The sequence below is a fragment of the Homo sapiens genome, chromosome 4 (assembly GCF_000001405.40).
Source record: "Homo sapiens chromosome 4, GRCh38.p14 Primary Assembly".
NCBI classification, from domain to species: Eukaryota; Metazoa; Chordata; class Mammalia; order Primates; family Hominidae; genus Homo; species Homo sapiens.
The window spans coordinates 186,214,961-186,237,973 of NC_000004.12; the positions used below are offsets into that span (position 1 = coordinate 186,214,961).

The window sequence follows — 23,013 nt, forward strand, 5'->3', positions numbered from 1 at the left end:
ACTTTCTTTCTGTTGTGGTTTGCATTTATTGATCTCTGCCTTTCCTGATACTACTCAATTTATGTTTCACAGAAATAACGGCTGTACTTAAATGAAACTCAGATTCCTATATAAAAATGTTGGGATAACTTTGTTCCTTCAGTAAGGGTCATACAGACATTATAGATCTTATCGGGAAGAAAAATTATCACAATATTTAGACATGACTGTCTTATTTTAAAAATGTTTTCAGTTTACTTTCAGATTCCATATATAGTTTTAAAATACATGTTTTAGCTGAATAGTAAAAAAAAAAAAAAATATGTAGGCACAGGAGTATCTATTGGGCACTCCTGGGAAGGAGAGTAGCCTTTCTTTCTCTTTCTTTCTCTTTCTTTCTCTTTCTTTCCTTCTTTCTTTCCTTCCTTCCTTCCTTCCTTCTTTCCTTGCTTTCTTCTTTCTTTCCTTGCTTTCTCTCTTGCTTTCTCTCTCTCTCTCCTTGCTTGCTTGCTTTCCTTTTTTTTTTTCTATATTCTACCTCTAGGCTTTGCGTCCTTGCTTGCGCAAGTCAAGCCCAAGTTTTAAGTTTTATGCTTATGGAAATACAGTAAATTAAGACATTTATTTATTTATTTATTTATTTATCTATCTATCTATTTTTTGAGACAGGGTCACCTAGGCCGGAGTGCAGTGGCGCAATTGTGGCTCACTGCAACCTTCACCTACTGCGCTCAAGGGATCATCCCACCTCAGTCTGCTGAGTAGCTAGGACTACAGGTGCATGCCACCGTGCCTGGCTAATTTTTGTAATTTTTCTTGTACAGTTGGGGTTTGGCCATGTTTCCCAGGCTAAATTAAGACATTTAAATCACTCAGGCACAACTAATTTTTTCATATTGCCACATCTTCCTAGGAGTGGGATTGTGCTTCAGTTTTTTCAGCTGTCTATGCCTTAATTTTGACTCCCATCAATAATGCTTGATGTTGTAGCCAGTGTTGGTTTATTATTACCAAAAGCAATGCTGTTCTGGAAAGGCAAGGACTGCAGTGTCTCATATGATGCAATTGGACGGAACCTCAAGACGACATTTGCTCCCAGCAAAGGGCATTCAGCAGAACAAGGACCAATCAGAATTCATCCAACAATCATTTTCAGTGTCATCTAAGACTGGCAGGTAATAGCTTACATGTGCGATTGTGACTTTCATGTGAGGATGAGATGGTCCACAACTGCGGGGAAAGCAACCTTCCTGTCCTCAATCTCTTGTTTTTAAAAGATATTTCATTCCTTATTCATGTGCTTATTTATTTATCGTTTTACTCTTTCATTCATAAAAGTCTGCCAAGTTCTATTGAGGGAGCTGGGGAAAGACAGCAAGCAAGCCCCAGTCCTACCAGCAAGGTGTTACAGACAGTGGGCGTCTGAAAAACAACAGAGAAATGGACAAGGAGGTAACAGAATGGCAGGGAGTGAGAAGCGTTACGCAGAAAGACAAAGAATGGTGAAGAGACAGGAGGTGGAAGAGATGGAAGGTGCCTTTTCAGATGAGATGCTTGCTGGAGGATGGTATCCTGAGGAGATGATGTTTGAGCAGTGGTCTGATTGAAGTGAGTCACGTGGGGATCTGGGACAAGGGGAGGTGGAGAGGGCTCCATCCTGGCACGTGTCTAAGGGGAGGTTCTGGAGAAAAATCCTCTTTCAAGCACGTGCAGTTTGTTGGAATATTCAGTGCTTTGGGATGGTAGGGGTGAAATCCCCATGTTCTTTTTGGCTCTTGTCCAGAGATGACTCTCAGGTCCTTCCCCGTGACCCATCTCAAAGCCAGCGCTGGAGCACTTCCCTGCTGTCAATCCCTCTTAACGCTCTGAATCTCTCTGACATCTCCTTATGCTGACCGCAGAGGAAAACTCTGCTTTTAATGGGCTCATGTAATAAGATTTGGCCCACTCTGATTGACTCCATTTTGATTGGCACAAAGCCAAGTGTTTAGTAATCTTAACCCCATCTGCAGAATTGCTTTTCTCATGTAACATAATCATGGGCAGATGTGATATCTCGTTTTATTCACTGTCCCCAGGATTTGAGTGGGAGATTTGGGAGAATGTTTTAGAATTCTACTTACCACGCCTCTTTTCAATTTAGTTCTGATTTGGTTCACCTGAATCTACAGAGGTTTTTTTAGTTTTATTGTGCTACTAGAATGTAACATGTTTCACTGTAAGAAAACTCCAACTAAACCTAGAAGCATATTTAAATAGGTTAAAAGTCTGTAATCTCACCTTTTAGAAAAACAAACCCTGAGGGTTTCTGCTGTGATGTGAAGGCAGGGTGCTTTTGTCCCAGTTGTTTTGTTGTTGTTGTTGTTGTTCTTGTTTTCTGCTGAGCCTGGTAGCTGATGAAATCTAAAATATAAACTCTTTTCTACTGCACAAAGTGGAGAGATTTGTTGACTACTGCTGCACCACTTGATATCCTAAAAGACAGCACAACATGCATATTTAAAATATGCTACTTCCTTCTCACCAGAAAATATTTTATTGGCAACATTATCCTACATTTCTAATAAATGTAGTTCTGCATTCCAGTAATATACATAAAATATTTATTTAAGAATCGACTCCAAAAACTCTAATGTACTAATCAAGATGATATACTGTAATTTCAAAGAATAGAAAACAAAGGAGATTTAGTGGGCAGGTCATTGTGGTCTTTAAATATTTTAAAAGCAGAAAAAGGAGAATCAGTTGTTTTGTGTGGGTCTAGTACGTAAATCTAGGACTGAAGGATAGAAGTTTGCAAGGAGGTGTATTTCAGTATACAGGAAGTTTTTTTCTTTTCTTAAAAATAAAATTAAAATAGAGCTCCCTGAGCTCTGAAATAAAATAAAATTAAAATAGAGCTCCCTGAGTTGGAGCAGGCTGCTTAGGAAACCAGTTTCTCCTCAGTCGAAGTATTTTGACAGGAAGGTCTAAAGTCTATGTCAGAAGTGTTATCCAGCAGATTTCAGCCAACCTTATCTGTAGAGTCAGATAGTAAATCTTCTTGGCTTTTGAGGCCATGCTGCCTCTGTAGCAACTTCTTAACTCTGCCATTGTAAGGTGAAAGCAGGCATAGACAGCAAGTGAATGAATGGCCATGGCTGTGTTTCAATAAAACTTTATTTACAAAAACAGGTGCAAAGCCAAATGTGGTCTGTGAACTGTGGTTTGTCAAGCCTGATATATTGCATTTCCTGAATTGGGTGGGAATAGGACCTAAACATCAAGCCAGTCCCTTCCAAATCTAAGATTTCAGTGTTATATGATTCTTTGGTAGGGTGTAGGAAGGCATAGATATCATTTGCTAAAATATCCCTCTAGGAGGAGCTATCCATACCCATCCATTATTCACTGTGCCTGCAAGCAACTCTAATAAAAAAAAGTTCTGTTAGATGAGGTTTCAACTACATGCCACTAAATACTGGGAATGTTATAAGCATTTTTTAAAATGGAAACCTGTGCATAAACTGTGTGACCCTAAAATGAAATTAGGGTCCTTTTGAGTGCAGCATTTTTCTACCTTTTTTTATGTATCATTTACAAATAAAAATTATATATATCTACTGTGTACAAGATAGTGTTTTGATATACATGTACATTGTGAAATGATTACCATAGTCAAGCTAATTAACATGTCCATTATTTTACATAGTGTGTGTGTGTGTGTGTGTGTGCGCATGTGTGTGTGCTGAGAACCCATCAGATCTATTCTCTAGTGAAGTTCATGTATACGATACAGTATTATGAACTATAGTCACCATGTTTGCATTAGTCAGGGTTCTCTAGAAGGACAGAACTAATAGGATAGATGTACATATAAAGGGGAGTTTATTAAAGAGTATTGACTCACACGATCACAAGGTGAAGTCCCACAATAGTCTGCCTGCAGGCTGAGGAGCAAGGAAGCCAGTCTAAGTCCCAAAACCTCAAAAGCAAGAAAGTCAACAGTGCAGCCTTCAGTCTGTGGTCAAAGGTCCAAGAGCCCTTGGCAAACCACTGGTGTAACTCCAAGAGTCCAAAAGCTGAAGAACTTGGAGTACAATGTTCAAGGGCAGGAAACATCCAGCACAGGAGAAAGATGAGGGCCAGAAGACTTAGCCAGTCTAGTCCTTCCACGTTCCTCTGCCTGCTTTTATCCTAGCCCGGCTGGCAGCTGAGATGGTGCCCACCCAGATTGAGGGTGGGTCTGCCTCTCCCAGTCAACTGACTCAAATATTAATCTCCTTTGGCAACACCCTCACAGACACATCCAGGAACAATACTTGGCATCCTTCAATCCAGTCAAGCCGACACTCAATATTAACCATCACAAGTCCACCCCTTGTCTACTTGAACCCATACGCATCTCCTGAAATCATATATAATCTTCAAATAAAGATAATAATAAGGTCATAATTATGTTAGGTAATACATAATACAGCTATCCTTCGTACAACCAGAAGTGTACCAATCCCCAACCCAAATGCTGTTACATAAAGTTAACAACATTTAAATGCTGATTTGAAGTAAATAAATCTTATGTCACATGATAAAGGAAAAAGAAAGGAAATAAAATGAAGATATTTTCTTAGTACAAGTGTATACATACACAAACATGTTCCTAACAAAATAAGGAGGAAATATGACAATTACAGTCCTCATTTCTGCAGCTGGTCACGTGGGCATAGCCGGTATTGATGACTACCTTCTTCTACTACCCATTCTGTATTCCTTTTGCCTTCAGCAAGCATCTCAGCAGGTTGTGGTTTTTTACCTGGTGGAGTGACCCAAACATTCATTCCTAAGGGGTCTGGGCCTTATGTAGCACTGCCTGGATTGGGCTGTTGTAGTTTCCCATTGACCTTAATCACAGGGCATGGTAATACTAAGAGTTGCCTGAAGGGATCTCCTGTATTCCTTGCATACTCTTCCTTACCTCCACTGTGGAGTAATAGACTAACTTCATCTTGATAGTCCAGGTCAATCACCACAGCCAACACTGCAACTCCCTTCTGAGCCTGTTGACTTAGAGGTAAAAGGATCTCAAAGTGTCCAGGTGGCAAGCTTAACTTCCAGTTTAATGGAATCCTTGTTGTGTCTTCTGGTGGCAGCATTTTTCCCTCTGAAACTAACACAACTAAGCAAGCAGAAGGTAATGTATTGGGAACAGGAAGCAAAAATTTTGCTAGTGGATAGCTAGGGGTGATGGTGAGTGGTGCCACTTCCACTTCTGCCCCTTGATTCCTAGACCTGTGAATCCTGGCTATGGGAGAAACGGTGCCATATATTGGATGTTGATTCAGAGCATACATAGCCTTCTGGAGAATTTTGCCCCAGCCCTGCAAAGTATTGTCCCCTAGTTGGCATTGTAATTGTGACTTCAAAAGGCCATTCCACCGTTCTATCAATACAGCTGCTTCAGGATGACGGGAAACAATGTTGTACATTAGATCCTCCAACTTATTCACACTGCATAATTGGAACTTTGGACCTTTTGACCAAAACCACCCCATAGCTGGCACTCCCCATACTCTGGCTACCACCATTCTACTCTCTGTTAGCATGACTTTGACTTTTTTAGATTCTGCATGTAGTTGTAAGTGCCTCTCTTCAGATGATCATATGATTTTTATCCTTCATTTTGTGAATGTGGTATATAGCATTTATTGAGTTGCATATGTTGAACCATCCTTGCATCCTAGGCTCAGTTGATCATGATCCTTTTAATGTGTTGTTGAATTTAGTCTGGCTAATATTTTCTTCAGGATTTCTGGATCTATGTTCATCAGGAATATTGATCTATAATTTTAATTTTATTTTATTGTGATGTCCTTGTTTGGCTCTGCTATCAAAGTAATGCTGGCCTCATTAAATGAGATTGGAAGTGTTTCCTCCTTTTCAATTATTTGAAAGAGTTTGAGAAGGATTGGTGTTAATTCTTTAAATGTTTATAGACTTCACCAATGAAGACATCAGGTGCTGAGCTTTTCTTAGTTGAGAGTTTTTATTTCTGATTCAACCTCCTTACTCATTATTGGTTTGTTCAGATTTTCTATTTCTTCCTGATTCAGTCTTGGTAGGTTGTATGTTCCTAGGAATTTATCTATTTCTTCTACATTATTTAATTAGTTGATGTACTGTTTTTCATAGTAGTCTCATGATTTTCTGTATTTCTGTGGTATCCATTGTAATCTTTCCTCCTTCATTTATAATTTTATTTGAGTTTTTTTTCTTTTTCTCCTAATTAGGCTAAAGATTTCTTGATTTATCTTTTTAAAAACAATAACAGTGTCATTGACCTTTTCTGTTGTTTTTCTAGTCTCTATTTCATTTATCTCTGCTCTGATCTTTATTATTTTCTTTCTTCCTCTGTCTTTGGGCTTAGTTTTTTTTTTTTACTTTCTTATTGCTTCAGGTGTAAAGTTAGGATATTTCAGATCTTTCCATTTTCTTAAGGTAGGTATTTATCGCTATAAACTTCCTTCTTAGAACTGCTTTTGCTGCATCCCATAAATTTTCAATGCCACAAATTTTGTTTCTCTTTTCATTTTTCTCAAGACATTTTTTGATTTTCCTTTTGATTTCTTCTTTGACTCATTGGTTGTTCAGGAGTATGTTAATTTTCATGTATTTGTGAATTTTCCATTTTTCCTTCTGTTACTGAGTTCTACTTTTATGCCATTATGGTTGGAAAAGATACTTGATATGATTTCAATCCTTAAATTTGTTAAGATGTTTTCCATGGCCTAACATATAACCTATCCTGGAGAGTGTTCTGTGTGCACTTAAAAAGAATGTGCATTCTGCTGCTTTTGAAAGGAATGTTCTGCACATGTCCGTTAGGTCTATTGGTTTATAGCATTTTGAAATCCACAGTTTCCTTGTTGATTTTCTGTCCAGGTGATCTATTCATTGTTGAAAGCATGTTGCTATTTATTTCTCCTTTAGTTATGTTAATATTTGCTTTATAGATTTAGATGCACTGATTTTGGGTACATGTGTATTTACAATTGTTATATCCTCTTAATGAATTCACCCTTTTACCATTATATAATGACCTTCTCTGTCTCTTGTGACAGTATTTGACTTAAACTCTATCTCATCTGTTATAAGGATAGCCACCTCTGCTTTCGTTTGGTTATCATGTGAATGCAATCTCTTTTTCATCCCTTCACTTCCAGCTTATGTCTGTCCTTAAAGCTAAAGTTAGTCTCTTACAGGCAGCATATAGTTAGATCTTGTTTTTTATTCACTCATCCACTCTCTCTTTTGATTGGATAATTTAATACATTTACATCTAAAGTAATTATTGGTAGGTAAAGGCTTACTACTATCATGTTGTTAATTGTTTTCTGATTGTTTTGTAGTTCCTTTGTTGCTTCTTTTTGTCTCACTGTCTTCCTTTGTGACTTAATAACTTTTTTGGAGCAATTTGCTTTGGTTCCTTTCTCTTTATGTTTTGTATATCTACTACAGACTTTTTCTTTGTGGTTATCATGAGGTTTACATAAAATATTTCATAGTTATAACCATCCATTTTAATCTGGTAACAACTTTGACTGCATTTAAAAATACTGTATTTTAACTTCTCCTCCTCCCACATTTTATTATTCATGCCATAGTTTATATCTTTTGTATGTTGTGTATTCATTAGCAAATTGTTGTAGTTATAGTTATTTGTTAATACTTTTGTTTTTTAACTTTTATACTAGAGTTAAAAGTGACTGTTGCACAATAACAGTATTGGAGTATTCTGTATTTGACTGTATAAGAATACCTTTAATAGAGTTTTATTCTTTCATTTGTTTTCATGTTAGTTAGTGTCCTTTTGTTTAAACTTGAGAATTCCCTTTAGCATTTTTTGTAAGGCAGGTTTAATGGTGTTGAAATCCCACAGCTTTTATTTGTCTGGTGATATGATTTGTTCCTGAACTTCCACCCAAATCTCATCTCGAATTGCAATCCCCAGGTGTCAAAGGAGGGACCTGTTGGGAGATGATTGGATCACGAGGTGTTTTCCCCCATTATGTTCTCATGATAGTGAGGGTGTTCTCATGAGATCTGATGGTTTAAAAGTGGTGGTTACCCGTGCGCACATGCTCTCTCTCTCTCCTGCTGCCTTGTGAAGAAGGTACCTGCTTCCCCTTCACCTTCCACCATAATTGTAAGTTTCCTGAGGCCTCCCCAGCCATGAGGAACTGTGAGTCATTTAGACCTCTTTTGTTTATAAATTACCCAGTCTCAGGTGATATCTTTTAGCAGTGTGAAAATAAACAATACAGAGAATTGGTACTGGCAGAGTGAGGTACTGCTATAAAGACAACCTGAAAATGTGAAGGCAACTTTGAAACTGGGTAACAGGCAGAGGTTGGAACAGTTTGGAGGGCTTAGAAGATAGGAAGATGTGGGAAAGTTTGAAACTTCCTAGAGACTTGTTGAATGGTTTTGACCAAAATGCTGATAGTCGTATTGACAATGAAGTCCAGGCTGAGATGGTCTCAGATGGAGACGAGAAACTATTGGGAACTGGAGCAAAGGCCATTCTTGCTATGCTTTAGCAGAGACTGGCAGCATTTTGCCCCTGCCCTAGAGATCTGTGGAGCTTTGAACTTGAGAGAGATGATTTAGGGTATCTGTCAGAATAAATTTCTAAGCAGAAAAGCATTCAAATATAACCTGGCTTTTTCTGAAAGCATACAGTCAAGTCATATGCGTTCACAAAGAGATGGTATGAAATTGGAACTTATGTTTAAAAGGGAAGCAAAGCATAAAAGTTTGGAAATTTTGCAGCCTGACCATGTGGTAGAAAAGAAAAACCAATTTTCTGAGGAGGAATTCAAGCCGGCTGCAGAAATTTACATAAGTAATCAGGAGCTGAATGTTAATTGCCAAACAATGGGGAAATGTCTCCAGGGCATTTCAGAGGTCTTCAAGGCAGCCCCTCCCATTACAAGCCCAGAGGCCTAGGAGGGAAAAATGGTTTCATGGGCCCTGCTGCTCTGTGCAGCCTTGGGACTTGGTGCCCTGTGCCCCAGCCACTCCAGCTCCAGCTGTGACTAAAAGGGTCCATAGCTCAGGCTGTCGCTTCAAGGGTGCAAGCCCCAAGCCTTGGTGGCTTCCACGTGCTCTTGGGTCTGCGAGTTCACAGAAAACAAGAGCTGAGCTTTGAGAGCCTCTGCCTAGATTTCACAGGATGTGTGGAAACACCTGGCTGTCCAGGCAGAAGCCTGCTGCAGGGACCCAGCCCTCATGGAGAACCTCTATTAGGGCAGTGCAGAGGTGAACTGTGGGGTTGGAGCCCACACACAGAGACCCCACTGGAGCACTGCCCAGTGGAGCTGTGAAAAGAGTTCCCCCATCTTCCAGATGCCAGAATGGTAGATCCACTGACTGGAAAGTTGCAGGCACTCAGTGCCGGCCCATGAAGGCAGCCGTAGGGGCTGTACCCTGCAAAGCCACAGGGACAGAGCTGCCCAAGGCCTTAACAGCCCACACCTTGCATCAGCATGCCCTGGGTGTGAGACAGGGGCTCCAAGGAGATTATTTTGGAGCTTTAAAATTTAATGACTTCCCTGCTAGGTTTTGCATATGCTTGGGACCTGTGGCCCCTTTATTTTGGCCAATTTCTCCCATTTGGAATGGGAACATTTACCCAATTCCTGTACCCACATTGTGTTTTGGAAGTAACTAACTTGTTTTTTATTTTAAAGGCTCATTGAGGGAAGGGACTTGCCTTGTCTCAAATGAGACTTTGGACTCGGACTTTTGGGTTACTGTGGAATGAGTTAAGACTTTGGGGGACTGTTGGAAAGACATCATTGGTTTTGAAATCTGAAAAGGACATGAGATTTGGGAAAGGCCAGGGGAAGAATGATATGGTTTGGCTCTGTGTCCTCATCCAAATCTCGTCTTGAATTGTAATCCCCACATGGGATTACATGGGAGGGGCCTGGTGAGAGGTGATTGGATCATGGAGGTGGTTTCCCCTGTGCTGTGATCTCATGATAGTGAGGGATTTAAAAGTGACAGTTTCCCCTGCACATACACACTCTCTCTCTCGTATCACCTTGTGAAGAAGGTGTCTGCTTCCCCTCTGCCTTCCATCGTGATTATAAGTTTCCTGAGGCCTCCCCAGCCATGGGTAACTGTGAGTCAGTTAAACCTCTTTTGTTTATAAATTACCCAGTCTCAGGTAGTATCTTTACAGCAGTGTGAAACTGGACTAATACATCTGGGAAATTCTTTTTGTCTCCTTCCTTTCTGAAGGACAGCTTTGCCTGATATTATATTCTTGGTTGCCAGGTTTTGTACTTTCAATACTTTGAATATATCATCCCACTCTCTCTTGGCCTACATGATTTCTGCTGAGAAATCCACCAATAATCTTATGAAGCTTCCCTTGTATGTGAAGAATTGCTTTTCTCTTGCTTCTTTGAAAATTCTCTCTTTGTCATGGTGAGGATTTCTTTTTTTTTTTTTTTTTTTTAGATGGAGTCTAGCTCTGTTGTCCAGGCTGGAGTGCAGTGTGCAGTGGCGCAATCTCGGCTCACTGCAAGCTCCGTCTCCTGGGTTCACACCATTTTCCTGTCTCAGCCTCTGGAGTAGCTGAGACTACAGGTGCCCACCACCACGCCTGGCTAAATTTTTTTTGTATTTTTAGTAGAGATGGGGTTTCACTGTGTTAGCCAGGATGGTCTCGATCTCCTGACCTCATGATCCACCCATCTTGGCCTCCCAAAGTGCTGGGATTACAGGCATGAGCCACTGCACCTGGCCGAGGATCTCTTTATATTTAATCTATTTGGAGTTCTTTTGGGCTTCATAAATCTGGATGTTTATTTCATTTATGTCTCCAAATTTTGAGAGTTTTCTATTCTTATTTTTTTAAATAAGTTTCTGCAACTTTCTCTTTCTCTACTTCTTCTGGAACTCTTCTAATGCATATTAATTTTCTTAACAGTGTCCTATAAGTCTTGTCAGCTTTCTGCAATTTTTATCATTCCTTTTATTACTCTGACTGGGTAATTTCAAATGACCTGTATCTGAGCATGCTGATTCTTTCTCCTGCTTGATCTAGTCTGCTGCTGAAGCTGTTTGTGAATTTTTTCAATTCAGTCATTTTGTTCTTTAGCTCCAGAATTTCTGTTTCATTCTTTTTTATGGTTCCTATCTATCTTTTTGTTGAACTTCTAATTTTGCTCATGTATTGTTTTCCTGATTTTGTTTACTGTCTATCTATATTGTTTTGTAGCTTATTGAGCTTTCTTAAGGCAATTATTTTTAGCTCTTGTCATGCAGTAAAGATCTCCATTTCTTTAGGGTCACCTCCTGCTGCTTTATTTCCTTCCTTTGGTGGTTTCTTGTTTCCCCGATTATTTGTGATCAGTGTGGCCTTGCACTGAAGTAGGCACCTATTTCAGTCTTTACATACTAGCTTCAGCAGAGAAAGCCATTCACTAGTCAGATTGACCAGAGATTGTTGGTGGGCTGTCTGTTGGGGTCTATGCACAGGATTTCTGCTGGAGTTCTAAGGTGGGAAGGGCTGGATTCTGGGTTCATTCACTGTGGTTGTCTGTATTCTGTGCACAAGGACTGGCTTGAAGCATGGATCCTTGGGGGCTGACTTGGCACTGAAATGAGCCTTAAGCCTGCGTCTGCAGGGGCCAGCCTAACATGGGGATCACCTGGCACCTGAGTTCATGGGGATAGGCCTGTTCCTGAGTTTATTCAGGCTGTCCTGGGAACAAGGTCCACTGGGGTGAGCCCAGCATCTGGGTCCACATGGCCCAGCATGGAGCCAAGATCTCTGGAGGCTGACCTGGTGCTGGATCTGCAGGGGATGGCCTGGATTCTAGGCCCATGGGTGCCAACTTGGAGCCTGGGGTTGCTGGGGCTAACGTGGAGGCTAGATAGAGTCTTGGGGGCCAGGCTAGAGCTGGAGCAGGCCTGAAGTCTAGGTTTTGTGTGGCCATCTTGGAGCCTGAAGCCCCAGGGGCTGACCTGGTCTGGGGTGAGCATGGGGCTGAGGCCACAGAGGCTGGTCTGGCCTGTGGCAGGCCTGAATCCTGGTGCTGGGGTTTACTGGAGTGGGCTTGGTGCTTGGGATCTGTGGTGAAGTTAGGTTCTATCTTAACTGTCCCTCCTCCATGCAAGAGGGCATCTCTCTCCATACTGTGCTGCCCAGGCTTGAAGGTGAGATGACACCGGTAATGTGAAATTGTCCTTCCTATACACTTCTATGTGTCTTTTCTTATTTCTGTGCTGCAACCAGGTGGCATAACCTCTCACCTGATTCCTTAGCTCTAGTGAAGTTATTTTCGTGCATGGATACTTGTTCGAATTGATGTTTCTGCAAGGGATGAGCGCTAGAAACTCCTGTTCTGACAAACTCCTATTCCTATTCTTGCTGACATCACTCCCTGAAATAGTTAATATACTTAACAGCTGAACACGGATAGGATGTTCATGGAATATGTTGACAGGACAAAAAGTTGAAACTGTTGGCAGAAACCCAAAGTCAATATTGAAGCCAAGCAAAATATTGCCTGCAGTGCCACATTAGAACAGCTTGAAGACCGTTCATTTTTAAGTGACAAGAGACTCACCTCCAAGAAGCAATTGTGTTTTCAGGTAGCAAATTTTTATTATTCTGATTGTTTCCAAATAAACTATAATTTTTAAGTATAATTTTTTACTTTATGAGAAAATTAATCATTTATATTCTAATTTCCTGAGTATGTAGAGAGTATAGATAATGTTCCTTTATGTAGAAATATTTAAATGTAAGATGATTTTAAATCAGAAAGAATATTTGATTGATTTAAAATTTTTAAATGGGCTTTAATATTTTCAGAGGTTTTCTTTACTTAGGGATTTTTGGACTGACATTATTGCCATTATTTATTAATTTTGTTTTTGCCCAAATCAAGAGGTTTCATAATTGTTTACTCTCTCTCTACCAATTCCCTTTCCAACATTACTAGCCACAGAGTTGGCCAATGAACAATAAACACAACAGTAGTCTGGAGGTCTCAATTTGTATCTTGGGAAGCATTATAAATTTTCCAACTCCCTAGACACAAATGTACCAAAAAAAAACCCTTGTTTTCTATACCAGTAATTGTGTGCTTTGTCTTGCAATTCAGACATTTACAAGAAAATCTAAATCACCTTAAATTAAGATTTATGTTAAATGTGGTCTAAAACCAGCAGAGTTATGTATTGTTTTCTTTTTTAGAATGATTTTATTCAAGCAAGCAACTTATTTCATTTCCTTGTTTGCTACAGTTTCCTGTGGTAAGTGAATTATCTATAAAACATGGAATTCAGGCTAAGACAGGAGTAGCCAAGCAAGTGGCACCACCCCTGGAGAAAGCTATTGAACATACAGCTTCGGGGGTGGAGATTGTCCCTGATGATTCAGGACACGTGTCTATTTAATGTTCCACAACAAGGACCACTTGTCAGGTATATTGCTGTAGACATATGTTGCAGACCAGAGGAAGGAGCTCAGAAGTAGGAATGTCTTGGGACTTGTGTTAACAAAAACTTCTGTTCGCAGATGACACTCTGCAAAGCAAAACTTGAAACAAAAAAAAATTAGTCCTCTATTTTTATTATCAACAGTAAAAAATTAAACTTTATCTGAAAATTCAAAAGAGTGCTAGGCATTTTATAGTGTCTGGGTCCAATCCAAGTATCTGTTAGGAACACCATACATAGTTTTACTCTGGACCGCTAGGGAACCATTTCAAAAATGAAAGTAACTGGTTTAAATTTAACTTAGCAAACCATGCATTTGGATAGTTCTAGGTGAATAGCTTTCAACACCAGATTTAGATCTCATTTCTCTATTAATTTCATTAATTTTTGGAGAATAAAAATGATTCTGGACATTTCATTAATCATTACAGAGGGAGTTTTCTCTGTGTCCCCACAAGGCATGATTCTGGGTCTATGGTGACTTAAGAGGGCCACACAACAATGAGTATTTAATTTTCCTCAGATGTATGGCTACAATAAACATCTATAGGTAAGGTTTACATTCATAAAGAGACCTTTTTTTTTCCAGGAAAAAAGACTTTTATTCCCCCTAAATCACAACTCCCCTGTGTCTGTCCCTCAACCCTGATTTCTCTTCTAAACCGTAATTTACAAACCCATGTGCAAACCCACTGAAAGGTGAGAAGGAGCATAAGCCAGAGACACTGGGAACCACAGCCAACTACAGGGGGTTTTTCATTTTTTTGTTTTGTTTTGTTTTTTGGCAAAATAAATCATGATTATGGCTAGGAAAATCAGGGATGTAAGTAAGCAAAAATTTAGAAACTACATATTGCATGTAGTCCCCAAATTCAGAAACAGTCATCGTTAAACATCTTTTATTTAGTCTTTCAGATATTTTTCTACATATACCTATTTGCACATTTCACAAAAAAGAGTTATTAACTGTGGACACTCTTTGACTTGCATTTTCCACTTATAGCTATCTTTTGGTGCAAATAAGTAATATATTTTGGAGCTTGCTATTCTTCTCTTTTTATGGTATTTTTGTGTGCACATTCTTATGCTCTTATTCAGTTATTTCTGTAGAATACAATTTTTGAAATAAAAATACTAGATTCAAAGGTGTGAATATTTTTGAAGGTTTTGTGGTGTGGTATCATGAAATTAGGTTTCAGAAAGTTTACTCCATAGTTGACTTTTTCTACCAGCTAATAAGAGTGCTCATTTACCCCACTTAGGCCAACTCTAACAGGCTTCTGTTGCTTTGCATCCTGACATATTTATCTTTCTGGAAACAGTGTCCTAATTTATTTCTGCAGAGCTACTGCCTCTCAGTTTTGGTCCATGTGGTTCTGGTGACCCTGATTCTTCTGCTGAACCAGAAAGTGCACACATCCTCCTGGCTGTGGTGACCCAATCAGAGCCAACGTCTTGCAATGAAGCTTTTCTTTAGACATCTAGAAATAAGACTCTTATGTTTTTTTTTTCCAATTTGACTTGAAACTTAAGACAATACACAGGCCTGAGTTGTTGGTACTATTTTGCTACTACGTGGAGCTTGAGAGTAATGGTAACACCAAGACTGGAGCAAGTGGAAGGAGACATATTGTCCACTGATGCTATCAGTTGAGCACAATGTGCAGTTACTTTTTAAGCCAGATTCACCATGGGCTTTTTGGCTCCTGAACCAATAGATTTCATTTGTTTTCAAGCCACTTTGTACTAGGTTTTCCATCATTTGCAATCAAAACCAGTATACAAACACTGGTTATTTAATTTTTCATTTTTGCTAATCTCAGGGATAAAATGGCTTCTAGTTGTTTTAACTTGGCTATATTTGTGATTCTTCCCATTTTCATATACTTACTAATCACTTCTATTTCTTTTGTAAATTATCTTTTCATATTTGTTATCTAATTCTTTAAAATTTGAGTACTTTAATTCTCATTATTGTTTGTGGAATTGTTAAACAAGACTGAATAATCTGCCCAAAGTCCATGGACATGGGGGCCCATGTAAAAGCTTTGAAAGCCACCATCATTATGAGATAAATTATATAATAGTACTTTACATAGGCTCCAAAATACAGCACAGACACAGCTATCATTGTCATGGTCATCATTATCATCATGATCACCAACTTATGAGGATAAGCAAGAACACCTACTAGAAGTTTCTTTCCATTCAGCAACAAAATTGGTGTCTTTCTAGTCACTCCCTTCCCTGACTGTCACATAGCAGTTCACAGAGGCTCAGTTGCAGAATGAGAAGCTCTGGGCCAGGACCTGCCATTGTATGCATCCTTGCATGGGAACTGGGGGCTGGAAGAGGAGTGACTGCTTGATAATTATGAGTCAGTCAAAACCACCAACTGTCTGAAAAAAATAGGCCTTTTTGTAACTAGTATTGTCACTAAACCAACTCCTCCATGTTTTGTGCATACATGAAATCTAGGCAATACACTTGTATTCCCAAAAGCTTCCACTTGAAGAGATCTGTGCTCTTTCCAAATATAAACCTTACCCGAGAGGTGGTCATCTTGGCCACACCTCAGAGAGGGAGAGAGGCAGTCTTGTTGGGTTGGGTGGTCATAATGGGGCTCAGGGCCAAATCCCCAGGGGGTAGGATAGTGCAGAGAAGATGGCACTCTCCAGTGCTTAATAAAATGCACGTGGTCTAAGCTGCCCACTCCCTCAAAGGCAATAAAAAATAGGTACTATTTAAATTGAAGAGTAACTACTGCCCCAGGGAATGGACAGGTTGTCATTGGAATAGCCATGGTTAATGGTCCCAGTTGACAACTGAAATGAATGTGCTACCTGAACAGGAAAGCTTATTAACCAGATTTCAAAGACAGTCTTTCCCGGTAAATCCAAATTTACAAATTAAAGCCAGTAAAGACACCGAATTCTCTAATAATATGTGGGGTGCAGTATATTTTAGAGCTGGGAATAATTCCAAACAGCAAATAGTTCAAAATTTATTTTCAATTTAGCATATGCATGCATTTGCTTAAACTGTCTTAAAAATGAGTAAAAAATACTGTCAGTTTGTTTCAATCATACTGAGATGAGGAACAATGTTTAGCATTGCATGCTAGAAAAGGACACAGGATTGGGAGTCAGGGCTGGGTGACCGTCACAGGACTTTCACTAACTGTGTGGATCTTGGGCAAGTCTGTGTGCCCTGAGACTCAGTTATTTAACTTTCTTTTAAAAAACATAGTCCAGATGCAGATAACAAAGCCTGCCTCTAATTTCCCTTACAGAATTGTGAGAAGCTGGTGGAGATGTTTGTTACAAAAGTGTTTTGAAAATAGAGCAAATATTATTCTTTTTAAGGCATGATGTTTTCATAGCATGTCAGGCAACAGGAAAAAACTAAGTTAGGATTTTATTTTATTGTGGGGAATTTATGTGCAAATTATTGTGCAATTTAATGAAAATAAGCCAATGTTTTATACAGAAGTACCCAGAAAATTAAATAACACTATACATTGTTCAAATAGTTGCCTTAATATATTTTATTTTCTCAGCATAATTAGAGTTGTATTATACAGGTCTTTGAGTAGTCAGTCAGTGGGAGAAGTTAAGACAACAGATATCTTTTTATTAAAATTATTATATGAATTATCGCAAATTAATTTTTATGGTTCTGTCACAGGATGTCTGACTCAACTCTATGAAAACGCCTTCTTCAGAGGTGGGGATGTAGCTTCCATGTACACCCCAAATGCCCAATACTGCCAGATGAGGTGCACATTCCACCCAAGGTGTTTGCTATTCAGTTTTCTTCCAGCAAGTTCAATCAATGACATGGAGAAAAGGTAAAAGTTGGTATTTCATTATTGGAGAAGCTGTTTTTCAAAACTGAATCAGTTTTGTGCAGAAAGGTGTAGTATAACTGAGAGTTCTTCCTCACACGGGGTTCAAGGACCAGCTTCAGCAAAATCCCGTCAAGTGGTTCTTACAAATGCAGATTCCTAGGCCACAACCCAGATCTGCTGAACCAAAGTTTCTTGTGACCAGGAATCTGCATTTTAAACAATCACTGTGTTTCTTTAAAGTAGTAGAAGCTAGTCATTTTCTATTCAAAGCCTCAAAATGCTTGAATATCATTGGGCTAAGGGATTGTCTCAAGAAAGAGTCTAACAGGTGCACATTTCATCTGAATAAAGAAACAGATTTAACTGTGTGACCCATGATCACATTAGCGGATAGCACAGTCCAAAGAAAATAACATAAGACAAGCATTTTGCTGAGAATGTAATTGAGAAAGATCTAGAACTTGTGATTTTGGGACAGGGCAGTTCTAAATGGGGCCTATAGTGAGCCAGTTTGGGCACCTGTGGCATGATGCTATGTATGGTGTGTGTGTGTATGTGTGCTTGTGCTTGTGTGAATATGTATTATTAACTGGAAATTTGTAAAAGTATTGGAAAAATAGTACTTACGATTTTGTGTGTGTGTGTGATGGAGTCTCGCTTTGTAGCCCAGGCTGGAGTGCAGTGGCGTGATCTCGGCTCACTGCAACTTCCACCTCCCAGGTTCAAGCGATTCTCCTGCCTCAGCCTCCCAAGTAGCTGGGATTACAGGCACGCACCACCACGTCCAGCTAATTTTTGTAGTTTTAGTAGAGACGGGGTTTCACCACATTGGCCAGGCTGGCCTTGAACTCCTGACCTCGTGATCCACCTGCCTCTACCTCCTAATGTGCTGGGATTACAGGCATGAGCCACCGCACCCAGCGGTAATTACAATTTTTATTAGGTCAGAGAGATGCTTATTAATCACGAGCCACAGTTTCATCTTAATGATTTTTCCTTTTGATTAATATCCAGAGTAAGCTTTTCTTTGTTGTTCCCATTTCCATGTTCATAACTCTTTACTCATCTTCACTCTATGTGAGTTTACCAACTAGAAATTGGATAGTCATTCTCTGATCCCACATGTTAAACTTGTAGAGAAAACTCAGATTGTATGTGAGGATCATCATATTAAAAGTGGAGGAAGGTTCTAGAATTCTTATAAATAATGAAATTAACATGAAGGTGGACATCTAAGACAGAGGGAAGTCTTCCATTAAGTGCAGACTACAAGGAGTTAATAAGCAAGATGAACACGATATACAAATCCAGCTCTTATCACTAAGTTAACTTTTTAAGTAAATGAAAGTATTTGCAAAAATAATTACCAATTGAGAACATAGTTGCCTGAAAGTTTAAGAACACAGGAAAAATCATTAACTCTTTAATATGGTTGATTTCCTGTACTTAAAAAATGTGAGTGTAAAGAAAACGCAGTGATGGAGTTAGATATTATGGGGTGTTATAAAATTAGCTCTAAGAGTGTTCTTTCCAGCAAGTATTGGGGAAGCTATATTATTTTCCTTATTCCTGGTTTTATTTGTTAGTGTGTAGAAAATGCTAGACATTTCCTCAATGTATGTTTATTATTCTACTTCCTAAGTAAAGCTACTTTTAAAATAGGTTTGGTTGCTTCTTGAAAGATAGTGTTACAGGAACCCTGCCAAAAGTACATCGAACAGGTGCAGTTTCTGGACATTCCTTGAAGCAATGTGGTCATCAAATAAGTGGTAAGTTGTGAATTTCTTAGCTACATTTGAGTTAATATTGGATCTCGCTTAGAACAGCTTTTGCTCAAAGTTTGTACTGCTACAGCTTTTTGGAAGGCATCACTCATAAAGATAGGAGATGGGGCAGTATTCTGGACACAAAAGAGGGACCCATATTCATCTGGACACTTCTATTGTCTTTATAAATCAACACATACTTAATGAGCCTCTATTATTTATGAGGTTAGCGCTCAAGTGTAAGATTTGCAGAAAATGAATCCAAATAATTGTGTCTCGTTTCCAGATAAGAATTTTTAAGAAAACACAAGGGAACATCTCTCTCAAGTTCACTTGAGGGTAATTTTTACATCAGTGATTCTCAACCAGCAGTGATTTTGTCTCTTCCACTGGGGACATTTGACAATGTCTGGAGACATTTTTGGTGGCTACAACTAGGGAGGATGCTATTAGCATTTACTAAGTAGAGGCCAGAATGTTTGAATGCTGACCAACATTCTACAAGGCACAGGGCAGTCGTCCACAGCAAATAATTTTCTGGCCCAAAACGTCAACAGTGCTGACATCAAGAAACTCTGTGATATACCACTAGGCCCAAATTGAAGAACTGAGTTCTGCAAATCTTGCTAAGAATAATACTTCCTAAAGGAAACTTGAGGACTAGGATGCTAGAGAACTTTGATTCTGACATCTGAAGCTACTGATGTCTTGGGAAACAGTTTCCAATGCTATCCTAATAAATTTAAGACAAATGAACTATTTCTCAAACATGACTGGGACTGATAAGAAAGTGAAAAGTGCTGAAAAGATTCAACTGATGGGTTGTCAGAATCTTAAAATAACTGCTGTTATTCTATGTATGACTATATATCATTACTATTTTATTTTCATTATGCACAATTAATTTTGTAGGTTCAAATTTCAGATGTTTTTAAATTTGTCATCCTTTCCTCCCTCATTGATATCACCTCTTCAATACGTACACACTTTGAGCCTGCTGTTTGCATTTTAACCAGTTATCAAAGGATGGCAATGCCTTCATTATAAATGTGGGCCTGACTTAGCCAGTATAATAGGTGTAGTCTACGTGAGGTGGAGTACATTTCCTATTTTAAAAGATCAATTTTTATGTTAATCCAATTTGGTATAAATTATTCGAGTAAGTGCTATTTCTGATTGTTGTATCTTGTAGCAAAATTTAAAGAAAAAGTAATTTGTGCCTTTCTCAATATTCCTGTTATTGTTCATGTATTCTAAAACTCACTGTTACTCACTTAGCTTGCTTTTAATGTTTTTTAAAGTGAAAAATTGTTCCCAAGTACATAAAATCTCTACACTCAAGAACAATTCTAGTCAAAAGCATTTAGAGCTTCCGTATGAACACTTAAAGAGTTTTTATTTGTAAGAGTCGCATCCCAACTCTTAGCCTGTTCTTTTCTCACATGCAGAAAAATAGGAAAGAGACTTCGTTTCCACAGTCTGCAAATTCCTGTGTTTAAGAACCACAGTGAATAATCCACCTCCCTGCCCAACTCATCGTACTGTCATATAGTTTTCCTGACAGTTTGTGTATTTTCTGTCTTTCCCACCCTTAAATTTAGTTTTATGACTTCAACCATACTTCTTAGGAGTGGAAAGGTATCTGTAGTAGATTATGGTTTATTCCACATAATCTTGGGGAATAAAACTTTAAAAAAGTATACAGTTTATACTTCTGGTTACATTACTTCCTTAACCAAAAGTCTAACCAAGAAATTTGAATCTTTAAAAAAAAAAGAGGCCGGGCGCGGTGGCTCACGCCTGTAATCCCAGCACTTTGGGAGGCCGAGACGGGCGGATCACGAGGTCAGGAGATCGAGACCATCCTGGCTGACACGGTGAAACCCCGTCTCTACTAAAAATACAAAAATTAGCCGGGCGTGGTGGCGCGCGCCTGTAGTCCCAGCTACTCGGGAGGCTGAGGCAGGAGAATGGCGTGAACCCGGGAGGCGGAGCTTGCAGTGAGTCGAGATCGCGCCACTGCGCTCCAGCCTGGGCGACAGAGCGAGACTCCGTCTCAAAAAAAAAAAAAAAAAAAAGAGCCTAATTTTGCTTCACTGTCTGTGAAAAGAATTATCTGTATCTTTTGCATGTAAGACAAATCTCAATGAAAAGGGTGCTTAAATAGAAGTTAACACTATTTTAAAGCAAGAATGGAAGTGGTTTCATCATGCGTAAACAACAACTCTCCACATTTTGTAATGATTGATCTGGATGCAATTTGTCATCAGACAGGAGAAGTCGAAAGCAAAGAAATAACACTGGGAGATAGAGAAGCTCTTTCATTCAATGCGAAAGGTCAAAGGCACATCAGTTTCTTTAATAATGCAAACCTCAGCACACATTATCAGTGTCCTCATTATTATTGCCTTGTTTATTTCCCACTGCTCATTGATAATTTCAACGTGAAATTTACCTGTATTGCTGCATGCATCTTGCAGTTTAAGAAGTGAAGTAACCCAATTTCAAAGCTAGTGCTTTAGGGAAAATATTGGATTGTATTTACTTCAAGCAGAGTTCGATAATTTATGTACATAATAAAAATTTTAAATCCCTTAGTTAATATAGCAGTTGCCAAAACTGGGCTATTATCATTCTAAACTACCAACCCAAATGGTAGTGGGTATCTAATCTACCTCTAGAAAGAAAATGGACTGTATTTGCTCTATGTATTTTTCTTGTACAGCTTGCCATCGAGACATTTATAAAGGAGTTGATATGAGAGGAGTCAATTTTAATGTGTCTAAGGTTAGCAGTGTTGAAGAATGCCAAAAAAGGTGCACCAGTAACATTCGCTGCCAGTTTTTTTCATATGCCACGCAAACATTTCACAAGGCAGAGTACCGGTGAGTACAATTCAAGGTGTGTGTTCTTTGTATTGGTGCCTCCAGGATTTCACTGTATTCTTCTTAACCTCTTTTGTTCCCAAACTAAAAACCAAACAGGGCTTTTATTCTAACCACTTTCCTCATTTACTTACTCTATTTTATTTTTTTATCTTTTATTTATTTATTTATTTATTGAGATGGAGTCGCGCTCTGTCGCCCAGGCTAGAGTGCAGTGGCGTAATCTCGACTCACTACAACCTCCGCTTCCCGGGTTCAAGCGATTCTCCTGCCTCAGCCTCCCGAGTAGCTGGGATTACAGGCGTCCGCCACCATGCCTGGCTAATTTTTGTATTTTTAGTAGAGTCGGGGTTTTACTATGTTGGTCAGGCTGGTCTCGAACTCCTGATCTTGTGATCCACCCACCTCAGCCTCCCAAAGCGCTGGGATTACAGGCATGAGCCACTGCGCCTCGCCCTTCATTTTTTAATTAAATAATTCATTTAATTTCATTTGTTTCTCTACTCTTTTCCCCTGGCATGTAATTGTACCGCATCTTCAAAGCCTGACATCCTCTTCCCCTACTTCTCCAAAGCTGATTCTTGCAGGTCTTTCCTCAAATACCGTCCCCTCCAAAAGCCCATTTCTGAGCATTCTCTTTTAAGTCACACTCAGCTCTGTTTATTTCATTCATAGAGCTAATCACAATTTGATATTAACTTGTGATTTTTTTCCTTATTTTTAAATCTTATTTTTATTTGCATAGATGTATGGGGTACAAGTGTAATTTTGTTACTTTGATGTATTTTACAGTGGTAAAGTCTGGGCTTTTGGTATATCCATCACTGGAGTCATGTACATTGTACCCACTAAGCTATTTTTCAACGCCCGCCCCCTTCCCACCTCTCTGTCACCTTCCCAGTCTCTACTGTCTATCGCTCCATGCTCTACTCAATTTTGGTGTCATTTTTTCCTGAAGCAAAATTTTGGTGTCATTTTTTCTGAAGTCATTTTCTGAAGTCTGTGTCATTTTTCGCTTTCCTGAAGCGAATTT

General features: G+C 39.1%; 1 protein-coding gene across 8 annotated transcripts in view, besides 1 other annotated feature; it reads left to right on the top strand.

Moving 5' to 3' along the window:
- The window catches only part of KLKB1 (kallikrein B1), a 47,619-nt gene that overhangs the window by 4,108 nt on the left and 20,498 nt on the right, over positions 1-23,013 (top strand). For 5 of the 8 annotated variants that reach the window (XM_011531930.3, XM_017008182.2, NM_001318396.2 and 2 more), the window contains exons 1-5: positions 12,547-12,627; positions 13,235-13,293; positions 17,167-17,329; positions 18,992-19,098; positions 21,821-21,980. In XM_011531930.3, the coding sequence (XP_011530232.1) occupies positions 13,236-13,293; positions 17,167-17,329; positions 18,992-19,098; positions 21,821-21,980 (488 nt within the window). In that variant the 5' untranslated portion in view covers positions 12,547-12,627; position 13,235. Of the gene's footprint in view, positions 1-753; positions 1,588-12,546; positions 12,628-13,234; positions 13,294-13,910; positions 14,030-17,166; positions 17,330-18,991; positions 19,099-21,820; positions 21,981-23,013 lie in introns of those variants that run through there. The other 3 variants (XM_047415661.1, NM_001318394.2, XM_017008181.2) reach the window with 3 other exon arrangements.
- Positions 11,054-11,724: an enhancer, noted in NCBI's record as "NANOG-H3K27ac-H3K4me1 hESC enhancer chr4:187147168-187147838 (GRCh37/hg19 assembly coordinates)". NCBI's record gives its function as "activates a minimal SCP1, AML or CMV promoter by ChIP-STARR-seq in naive H9 embryonic stem cells {active_cell/tissue: H9 hESC(naive)}" and the evidence as "EXISTENCE:reporter gene assay evidence [ECO:0000049][PMID:30033119]".